General features: G+C 38.9%; 1 annotated feature.

The window, feature by feature from the left end:
• Positions 7,618–7,773: a silencer, noted in NCBI's record as "fragment chr12:12080535-12080690 (GRCh37/hg19 assembly coordinates)". NCBI's record gives its function as "represses an EF-1alpha promoter that drives an FKBP-Casp9 reporter gene in an ReSE screen in K562 erythroleukemia cells {active_cell/tissue: K562}" and the evidence as "EXISTENCE:reporter gene assay evidence [ECO:0000049][PMID:32094911]".

Below are 11,922 nucleotides of genomic sequence, written 5' to 3'. Positions count from 1 at the left end.
CATTTGTTGAAAAGACTATCTTTGCTGTATCATATTATCATTGCTCCTTTGTAAAAAATGTCTCTCTATATGTCTGTTTCTGGGGTCTCTATTCTGTTCTATTCATCCACTTGTGTATTCTTTCACAATACCACACTGTCTTGATTCCTGTAGCTTCAGAGTAAGTCTCAAAGTCAGACAGCGGCAGGCCTCTGGCTTTGTTTTCCTCCTTCAGTATTGTATTATTGATTATTCTGGGATTTTTGCCTCTCTATGTAAACTTTAGAATCAGTTTGTCAATCCCTACAAAATAACTTACTGGGATTTTGTTTGGGATAGCACTGACTTCGTAGGTCAAATTTGGAAGAACTGATACCTTTACAATATTGAGTGTTCCTGTTCATCAACATGAAATATCTATCCTTTTATTTAGTTCTTCTTTTATATTTTTCCTGCATTTTGTAGTTTTCCTCATATAGATCTTTACATATTTTGTTAGATTTATACCTGTTTCACATTTTTGGATGCTAATGTAAATGTAAATGGTAATGTGTTTTTAATTTCTAATTTCACTTGTTTATTGTTGGTGTGTAGGAAAGCTATTGACATTTGTATATTACCCTTGTTTTGTGCAAACGTGCTATAATTGCTTATTAGTTCCAGGAGTTTTTGTTGTTGTTATTATTGCTCTTTCAGATTTTCTGCATAGATGATCATGTCATCTGGGAACCAAGACAGTTTCATTTCTTCCCTCTCAATCTATACATTTTACTTACTTTTTTTGTCTTATTTCATTAGCTAGGACTTTCGGTACAATGTTGAAAGCAGTGATGAGAGAGGGGACATGCTTACCTTATCTCTAAGTTCAATTAACTTTTTATATTTGTGTTCAACATTAGGCTTTGCTTAAAAAACTATATCCCCATTGCTCTTATCCTTATCCCTTCTGTCTCATTTTCACCCATCCTTTCTTGGTAACAATTTTTCACTTATTTCTGAAATGTATTTCCTGTGTTTCTTTTCTTTTTTTAAAAAAATAAGCAAATATGTGTGGTCACATTTTTAATTTCCTTTTCATTCCTAAACAAAAGTTGGTATATTCTATATTATCTTCTGCATCTTGCTTTATTCATTCAATAGTATATCCTGGAAATCATTTAATATTAATTTATAGAGATTTTTCACATTCTTTTTCATAGCTGCATAATATTCTATTGTGTGACTCTACCATCATCTATTCAATCAGACTCCTTTGAATAGGCATTTGGCAGTATTTCCATTATTTTGTTAATACAAATAATGCTGCAGTTGGATAATCTTATACATACATTGTTTGGTATTTGTAGAAGTATCTTCAGGGTAAATTCCTAAAAATCTGATAGTTAGATCAAAGGGTATGGGCATACATTGTTTCACAGGAAATTGCCAAATTCTCCTCTGTATGAGTTCTACTATTTTTTTTTTTTTTTTTTTTTGAGACAGAGTCTCGCTTTGTTGCCCAGGCTGGAGTGGAGTGATGTGACCTCAGCTCACTGCAACTTCCACCTCCTGAGTTCAAGTGATTCTCGTGCCTCAGCCTCCCAAGTAGCTGGGATTACAGGGGCCTGCCACCACGCCCAGATAATTTTTGTATTTTTAGTAGAGACGGGGTTTCACCATGTTGGTCAGGCTGGTCTCAAACTCCTGACCTCAAACAATCCACCCACCTCAGCCTCCCAAAGTGCTGAGATTACAGGCGTGAGCCACTGCGCCCAGCCCATATGAGTTGTACTATTTTGTACTCCAACCAGCAATATATAAGAAAGCCTGTTATCTAAATCCTCACCAACTGCATGTGTTCTCAAGAATTTGAATTTTTACTATCTTGATAGGTGAGAAATTGTATCTCAGTGTGGATTTAGCTTGAATTTCTCTCATTATACTGAAGTTGAACATCTTTTTATATGCTAAGGCGCACCCTCATTTCTTGGCTGGATTATTAATAGTAGCCTCGTGACTGGTTTCCTTGACTTTATCCCTTCCTAATTTTCGGCAATTCTACTAGAGAATTCTTTTTTAACAAAAGAAATCTGATCATGAAGTACACTTAGTAAAAGTCATTCAATTATGTCCATTGTTTACAGGAAAAAAATCTAAGGTTTCAGCAAGGCGTACAGTACACTTTAAATCAGTTCCTTGTCTGCCTTGATACCAGGGCAGACAGGGAAACTCAGCCTTGGTCCTCTCACTCCAAATATGTCTTTAAGCCTTTATGTATGCCATTCCTTCTTCTTGCAATCCCTTCTCCTAAATTACCAGGAAACTCCTATCCATACTTCAAAGTTCAACTCAAATGTCATCTCTTTGATAAAGTTTTTCTTTATTCTCTCAGTAGAGCTACTTACCTTTCTGGATTCCTACAGAACTTTGCAGTACTGACTCTCACAACAGCATTCATGAGACTGTGCATAATTATTTATTTTGAAGGCCATCTCCACTACTCTTTGAGCCCAGGGCCTTATTTTACATATCTGCCTCCAGTTTCAAGCACTGTGCCAGTTACATAGTGAGTGCTAAAAGAATATTTGCTTAATGAGCAAATAATGAGTGTGATTTCATCCTCCTGGTGTTTGCTGATATAAAATTTTATATTTTCTCTTTCTCTCTTCTGGGCTTTTCTTTTTGTAGGATGCTCATGTATAGCTTTGACTGCTTAGCAGGTATGATGAGGCTTATGACATTTCCACAGTTTACTACCATCCAATCTCCTAGGCTAAGTTCCTTCAGGAAATGATGGATCATCCAGTTATTGAATCTTACAGCTGGAAAGGATGTTGAGGAATCATTTGGTTCCTCCTTCTCCTCAAGGAAGGACTTGGGTTTCTGTTCCATTATAAGTGGGAGGGAAGAGAGGACTGTATGATTTCCGATCTCAACATCATCTCAGTGGACACCTTTCCTTTCAAATGTGTGTCCAATAGTCCTTAAGATAAGTCATCATGATTTTGGACAAGATGGGTTATAGAAGTGACAGGGATGGCTGGGCATGGTGGCTTATGCCTGTAATCCCAGCACTTTGGGAGGCCGATGCGGGTGGATCATCTGAGGTCAGGAGTTTGAGACCAGCCTGACCTATATGATGAAATCCCGTCTCTACTAAAAATATAAAAATTAGCCGGGCCTGGTGGCATGCATCTGTGATCCCAGCTACTTGGGAGGCTGAGATAGGAGAATTGCTTGAACCCGGGAGGCAGAGGTTGCAGTGAGCCTAGATTGTGCCATTGCACTCCAGCCTGGGCAACAAGAGCGAAACTACGTCTCAAAAAAAAAAAAGAAAGAAAGAAGAAGTGACAGGGATTAAAGTTTAAGGTAACAAAATAGATAGTTCTTTTCAGGTCAAAGAAAGTGCAAATGCCCCATCACCAGCATTACTCTAACATCCTGCAGATCTTTTTAATGATTATGGTGTAGCTATGACTAAAATGTCTGAAGAACACAGTGAGGTATTTAGCTGCCTATCCCTTTTCATCGTCTGGTTCCCTGCTCTCTTGCATTATTACCATTTTAATAGTCATCATAATGATGAAATGCTAGGCTGTTACGGCACCCATACTGCTGTGATTCAAGTAGAAATTGGCATTTGACCCTATCTCCCCAAAGCCTGTCAAGATAGGGGTTCCTCCCTACTATCTAAGGAAGATGTATTGATCACTTTTTAAAAACAGCATTCTTCCCCACCCCCGAATCAATTTGTCTGTGTACTTTTCCTATTCTCTACTCCCTCCAATATAAATAGATAAACTGTTGCATGAGCCCCACAAGGGAGACGTCTTAGCAGTTTGGAGAGTGGCTGATGCTGTGTCACACACTAAGAAGCAACTGTTGTCAGACATCTTTAATCCTTAAGCAAGTTTGTTGTGCTTATTCCGAAGAATAGTACAACCTGGAAAACTGCCTGGAGAGATGCAAATGATATTTGCATTCACTGTAGAAAGTAATTTATTCAAACAGGTGCTGTGCCAGATACTAGAGATAGGGCATGGTCCTTGCCTTTATGGTGCTAATTTTCTGCTGGAGGAGCAGAAAAATAAAGCAAATGAATAGATAATACAATGAAAAATGATATGAAGGAAGCAAGTAAGATGAAATAGGCGATCACAGGAGTGACTTACTTTTGATAGGTTGGTGGAGACGGTCTCCCTGGGGAGGTGATGTTTCTGTTGAGACTCGGATGGGATGGGACCTGTTGGATGAGGAGAAAGGCAACCACATCTCCATGCATGTAGATGACATAGGTAAAGGCCCGAAGCAGCAAAGATCTTGGCTTTTTTTTTTTTTTTTGGAATTGGAGGAAAGCAAAATAATGAGGCTGGAGCTTAATGAGCAAGGAAGAGAGTGGAGCAAATCAAGCTGGGATTGAACAGGTAGGTGGGGGTCAGATCCAGCAGGACCTTAGGGGTAACTATTGGAGTTTATGTTGCAGTTTGAGGGTGATAGACATTTTAGGGTTTTACATGATCTCATTTACCTTTCTTCTTCTTCTGTTTTAGAGGTGGGGTCTCACTAGGTTGCCCAGGCTGCTCTCAAACTCCTGGGCTCAAGTGATCCTCCCACTTCAGCTTCCCCAAATGTTGGATTATGGGAATGAGCCACTGTGCCCAGCCTGATTTACCTTTTATGCTGATCAGTTTTATTGCCTTGAGAAGAATAAGTGTATTACCTTGAGAAGGGGTAAGGTTGGAAGGAAAGAGACCAATACGGGGCTGTGTATAACCAGGAAGAGGTGCTGGTGGCATATTTGAGGACGGTGGTGGCAAAGACGGAAAGAAGTGGATGAATCAAGAAATATTTTGGATGTTAAATGGGTGAATCTTAGTGATAGACTAGTTTTGTAGGATGGGAAAAAAAGGAAGAATCAGAGAGAATTTCCAGATTTCTCCATTCTTGAGCAGATAGGTTGTTGGCGGTACTCATATTTTCTTTTTTTAAAATTATATTTACCTGGCCAGGTCCAGTGGCTCTTGCTTGTAATCCCAGCATTTTGGGAGGCTGAGATAGGAAGATCTCTTAAAGCCAGGAGTTAGCAACATAGTGAGACTGAAACTCTACAAATTTTTTTAAAAAAATTAGCCAGGTATGGTGGTACGTGCCTGTAGTCTCAGCTACTTGAGAGGCTGAGGTGGGATAATCGCTTGAGCCCAGGAGTTTGAGGTTACAGTGAGCTACAATAGCACTATTGCACTCCAACTTGGGTGACAGAGCAAGACCCTGTCTCTTAAAAAATTATTTTTACCTATATATGTGTATATATATACACAAACATATTTAAAAATCAAACAGCACTAAAAAATGCACAATTGAACATATTAGTTCTTTCCCATTCAACAACTTTGCTGCCCAGAGGCAAATATCTTCAACTCCTTTAGCTCTGCTCTTGGTATTTATTTCTCAGTTTCTAAATAATCTGCTTACCTTGCTGTTTTCCTTAAATGCCTGTTGATCCTTGGCTGTTTATTTACAGGTAAGAGTGAGGCCCTACTGCATGACTCAAAGCTTTGTAGGCATGGCTCGGCCTTGCCACTGGTTACCAGGAGGCTTCTCAAGAGGAAAAGTGGCCACACAGCCATGTCTGAAGGTCACTTTTGCGGACACCCTCAGTTTCTCCAGTGACGAAACTGCCTGGGGGTTCTTGCCTGGGGACTGGTCCTATTTTTCTGGTAGCAGTGCTGGATATGCTTCCTACCATAGAGTGTACAGACTTTCTATGAATTACCCTCTTTTCAGCTCTGAGTCTCCCTCTCATCCTTCTCTATGTGTGGTGTCTGGAGCTGGAGCAGCAAGCTTTAATTTCCCTGAAGATCAAACCTCTAGTCTCCTGTCAGACTTACAGAAAGGTTCTGATGACATTTATTCTGCAAGTGGATGGGTGGGAAAAATCAAGATTTCTGGGTTTGACCATGTGATGAGATAGTCGTAAGTGGTGCAATGAAATACCTGGTTGGGTGTGAGGTTTGGGACTCTGAGAAGTTGTCTTTGGAGAGAGAAGCCTGGCATCACCAGCCCTGGAGGGTACCAAAGGCCATAGAAATAGATGCCATTAATCAGGAAGAGGGTGGACAAAGGTCGGGGGAGGGTGGCTGGCCCCAATTCTGAGGAGCTCCCGCAGTGGAGAGCGGACCTGCCTGTGGGCTGGGATGAAGGAGCAGGGGGAGGGAACCCCTTCTTTGAGGTGAGGGAAGGGAAAAAGCCCATGTCACCTTGTTTGAGAAAAAATGGTACCTGAGAACCCAAGTATCCATTGACAGAAGAGTAAATAAACAAAATGTGGTACATCCATACAATAGATAAATAATAAAGTTTAGCCCTAAAAAGGAAGAAAATTCTGACACATGTTAGCACATGGATGGGCTTGAAGGATATTATTTTAGTGAAAGAAGCCAGTCACAAAAGGACAAATATCATGAGATTCCACTTATACGAGGTACCTAATGTAGCCAAATTTATGGACACAGAAAGTAGAATGGTGGCTGCCATGGGGTGGGTGTGTGGAGAGTGAGGGGCTGGTTATGTATTGGGCACAGAGCTTCTGTTTTGGAAGATGAAGAGTTCTGGAGACGGGTGGTGGTGATGTACAATGTGAATGTACTTAGTGCCCTGAACTGTGCAAATGTTTTGAACTTCAAAATGGTTAAAATGATTTATTTCATGCTGTGTATATTTTATTACAAGAAAAAAGAAGGAAATGAGACAGATAAAATGAAACAGATTGAGATGGAAAAACCAACCAACCAAAACTGGTAGCTGAGAAAAGGCAACAGAGCCATGTAAACCTGCTTTGTTAATTTCATCCAGTCCTTCCCTCACCTGTTTTTGTATCGTGCTTAGGGAGGTGGTATGATTGTTGCAGGGAGTAAATGAAAGGAGAGAGTACAGAGAGCTAGAGAGAAAATTGGGGAAAGAGGAAAAATGTAGAGAGGGTAAAGGGGGTGAGCAGAGAGCAAAGAATAAAAGTAGAAGGAGGAGAAAAGAGACAGAGAAAGAGAAGCTTCCAGTAAAGGCAGGACAGCCAGGCTCAAGGACAAAGACAGGCCGGCCACTCGTTCTCTTGGGCTTGCACTACCCTCATGTGACAAGGACAAGGACGCAGGGTGTGGGTCCCACAGAGCTCTGTGCACCGCTGGAGAAGGCCCAAGTGAAGAAAATGGAAGCAGTGCTTCTGGGCCTGCAAGACCCTGATTCTGCAGATAAATGAGATGTCCTTTCACTCATGCAGTCACAGGTAATCTTGATGCCTCTTAGGTCATGCATCGCTGTGTAGAAAGAGTTTATGGAAAATATACAGTGTATTTCTGAACTCTGTCGCTGTATCGAACTCACAAGGAAAATGCATGAGAAACATAGATTTGCTGTGTTGCACGGAAGAGAATCTTAAGCAAGATCTATGATTTTTCCAAAACACTTATAACACAGTTTGTACTTGCTCGTTTAGAGAAATTAGGCAATAAATGTAGGCCAATGGGGAAAATGAAAATCTCCCCAGATTCCACTCTGTAGGGATAACAACTGTTAGCAAGTTGATGACCTTCAATTTCTATGTCCCTGCTTCCTGAATCTGGGCAGGCTGGTGACTGCTTCAACCAACGGAGCAGGCTGGAAGGGAGGCTCTGTGACTTCTGAGGCTAGCCATAAAAGGCAGATGCTGATCTGCCCTTCTCGTTGGAACCCTTGCTCTCAGAGCCCACCACGGAAGGGGTCTGACTGCTCTGAGGCTGCCATGCTGTGAGGATGCCCCTGCTCCGTGTCGAGGTCGCATGTAGGCACGTTGGTTAAAAACGCCAGCTGAGTTATCGCAGCCCGAGCCCAGACGTGCGAGTGAGGAAACCTTCAGATTTTTCCAGCCGCAAGCCATTGGAGTCACACACTGCCAATCACTTCCTCTCAGCTGGAGCTCCAGACATCAATGGGCAGAGATAAGCCATCCCTGCTGCGTCTTGTCCAAATTCCTGACCCACAGAATCTGTGAGCATGAGAAAATGTATGTGGTTTTATGCCACTAAGCTTCAGGGTGGTTCATTATAGTTACAGATAATGGGAACACCAGCACTTCAGTTCTCCTTCTCAGAGACAGCCACCCTTACCAGCTTCTTGTGTGTTCTATTAAGGAAGTTTATAAATGTACAATAACATATTTTCCCTTTACATATATATATATATATATATATATATATATATATATATATTTTTTTTTTTTTTTTTTTTTTTTTTTTTTTGAGACGGAGCCTTGCTCTGCCGCCCAGGCTGGAGTGCAGTGGCGCAATCTCCGCTCACTCCCTTTTAATATATTTTTAGAAGAATTGGCTGCATGACAAACACATTCTGGACTTTGACTTTTGTTTTATTTAACAATGTATCTTGAAGATTGTTCTTCATCTATACGTATAGAACCTCTTCATTTTTTATAGCTGCATAATTATTATTATAATTTAAGTAACAAGCCCTATATTCACAGAAACTTAGATTATTGTCAGCCCTTTAATTGTATACACAGGTTGTGATTGCTGGGGTGGCATCTGTAATTTTGGTGACATTGACAAGTTGCTCTCCATGGAAGTTATTTCGGTTTTCTCTTCTAACAAAAATGCCTGAGAGTATCCGTTTCTCCACAAATACAGTATTTTGTTTTAAATCTCTATCAGACAAATTTATAGGAATGCTATATTCCTATAGTTTTAATTATTTTGTTATTATTTTATTATTTATTTTGAGTGAGGTTGAAAATCTTTTCATGTGATGAACAGCCATCTGCATTTCTTTTTTGATGAACACATAAGTTTAAATAGTTAATCCATCTTGAGTTAATTTTTTGCATATGATGAAAGGTAAGGGTCCAGTTTCATTCTTCTGCATATGGCTAGCCAGCTATCCCAGCACCATTTATTGAACAGGGAGCCCTTTCCCCATTGCTTATTTTTTGTTGACTTTCTCAAAAATCAGATGGCTACAGGTGTGCAGCTTTATTTCTGGATCCTTTATTCTTTTTTATTGGCCTATATGTCTATTTTTGTACCAGTACTATGCTGTTTTGGTTACTGTAGCCTTATAGTATAGTTTGAAGTTTAGTAAAGTGATTGCCTCCAGCTTTGTTCTTTTTTCTTAGGATTGCTTTGTCTACTCAGGCTCTTTATTTGTTCCATATGAATTTTAGAATAGTTTTTCTAATTCTGTGAAAAATGACATTGGTATGCTCGCTTCGGCAGCACATATACAAAAAAATGACATGGTAGTTTGGGAATGACATTGAACCTGAAGACTGCTTTGGGAAGTATAACTATTTTAATGATACTGATTCTTCCAATCCATGAGCATGTATTGTTCCATTTGTTTGTGTCATCTATGATTTCTTTCAGCAGTGTTTTGTAGTTCTCATTGTAGAGATCTTTCACCTTCTTGGTTAAATGTATCCCTAGGTATTTTATTTTTTTGAGTGTGTGGCTATTGTAAATGGGATTGCATTCTTGATTTGGCTCTCAGCGAAAATGTTTTTAGTGTATAAAAATGCTACTGATTTTCATGCATTGATTTTGTATCCTGAAACTTTACGGAAGTCGTTTATCAGTTCCAGGAGTCTTTTGGCAGAGTCTTTAGAATTTTCTAGGTATAGAGTTATATCATCAGCAAAGAGAGATAAATTGACTTCTTCTTTTCCTATTTGGATGCCTTTTATATCTTTCTGTTACCTGATTGCTCTGTTAGGACTTCCTGATGAACACTGTTTCTATCCCTTGCCCATTTTCCTGCTGGACTGTGGTCTTTTACTTTATATTTGGTGAGCTCTTTATATAGTAAAAATATTAGCTCTGGACTATAATGTAAATGAAAAAGATCTTATATTAGTTTTTTTTTTCTTTTTGGAATCCTTTTTATTTTCAAAGAATTAAAAAATTTTTCATGTTGTCAAATTGCTCAATCTTTTCCTTTAGGGTTTCTGAATTTTATGGCATTCATGGTGTGTCAGGTAGGATTCCAAGAATCACACAACTGCAAGAAACTAAAACTCTAAACACAGTGGCTTAAGTAAATAGGATTTTATTTTTAAAATTTCATAGTGAGAATTCCAGGAATAGGTGGTTGATAGCACTGGTTCAGCTGTTCAACAATGTCAGGGCTAATATCTTTTATTCTACTCTCTTGGCCTCTCTTATCTGATCCCTAGGTGATTTCTACAGAACTAACCTTTCAAAGGAGATGGGACACCAGCATGTCTATCCATCTTTATTGAGAAAGCAAGGATTTTCCCATCAGATTTCCAGTTATGTCTTATTGACCCAAACCAAGCCACACAGACACTGTAGCTGCAAGGGAGTGTGGGAAAGTGGAGAACATGACAGCCAGTATGACCCATCCTTTGGGGTTAGGCTTATTCTCACCCTGAACAGAATTGGGGTTCTGTTTCTCTGGAAAGAAGAGGAAAGTGGACAACTGGTATAATGAACAGACCACTCACAGTGTCTGGGACACTAGAAAGGGTTTTCCCCACTACAAGATTCATAAAAACAATTTTCCATGTTTTCTTCTAATATTTTTATGGTTAATTTTTCACATTTAAATCTTTGATGCACTTGGATTTTATTTTATTATTTAAGAATACAAATCCAACTTTTTCCTGAGATGAAGACCCAGTTGTCTAACACTGTTTATTGAGTGATCCATCTTGTCTGCACTGATTTAAAATTCCACCTTTATCTTAAAAAAACTCCTGTATGAATTAAGAAATTTTCTTGATTTTCTAGTCTATTCTGTTGACATCTTTATGAATGAGTGCCACACTGTTTTAATTAGCTAAATTTTAGTAGAATAGACTTCTTTCACTATCTTCCCCCCAGAATTCTCCTGGCAATTCTTGCATATTTATTTTTCAAATGAATTTTAGGATAATTTTGTGTAGTTCCAAATAATATTTAATATTTTATGAGGATGACATACATTTTAGATTAATTTAGGAACTATTAATGTCTTTATGATGTTGATCCTTCCTATCTGGGAACACATACTATTTTTCATATGCTAAAGATATTTTTTTTTTTTGGAGGGGTGGACCTTTAGTAGCATTTTACAATTCTCTTGTATGTATTTTTTCAGTTACTGTTAGGTGCTTTATCTTTTGTTACTATTGTAATTGGGATCTTTCCTTTCATTATAAATTCTAAGCAGATGTTATTTGTATACACAAATACTTGATTTTTGAATATTAATTTTGTACCTAGGCACCTTCAATTTCTTATTATTTATACATTTTCTAATGAATTTTTAGTATCACCAAGGGTTATACTTCTAATTTTTTCTTCCTATCTACTTGATTAGAATAATGCTTCCAAAATCATATTAAACAGAGTTAGAAATAGTGATAGTTGATGGCCTTGTTTTATTTAAGAATTTAACAGAGAAAATATATATGTTTTTGTTTTATATACAGGCAATATTGTTTCTACGTATATTCATATGTAACATTGTCAAGAAAGTATTCATCTATTCCTATGATGTTAAGAGGTTTTGACCTTTTTGAGCTTTTGAGCTTTTTTTTTTTTTTTTTTGAGGCGGAGTCCTGCTCTGTTGCCCAGGCTGGAGTGCAGTGGCGCAATCTCGGCTTACTGCAATCTCCGCCTCTCAGGTTCAAGCGATTGTCCTGCCCCAGCCTCCCAAGTAGCTGGGATTACAGGCCTGCGCCACCACGCCTGGCTAGTTTTTGTGTTTTTAGTAGAGATGGGGTTTCACCATGATGGTCAGGCTGGTTTTGAACTCCTGACCTCAAGTAATCCGCCCACCTCGGCCTCCCAAAGTGCTGGCATTACAGGCATGAGCGAAGTCTTATTTTGAAAAATGAAATTAAGATATAAGTCCCTGCATTTTAGACTCATTGGCCAGATGGGAGAGAATCCAAGCAGTACAGAGGAGAGGTGAGTGAGA

The sequence above is a fragment of the Homo sapiens genome, chromosome 12 (assembly GCF_000001405.40).
Source record: "Homo sapiens chromosome 12, GRCh38.p14 Primary Assembly".
NCBI classification, from domain to species: domain Eukaryota; kingdom Metazoa; phylum Chordata; class Mammalia; order Primates; family Hominidae; genus Homo; species Homo sapiens.
This window is presented reverse-complemented; position numbering and strand designations above follow the sequence as displayed.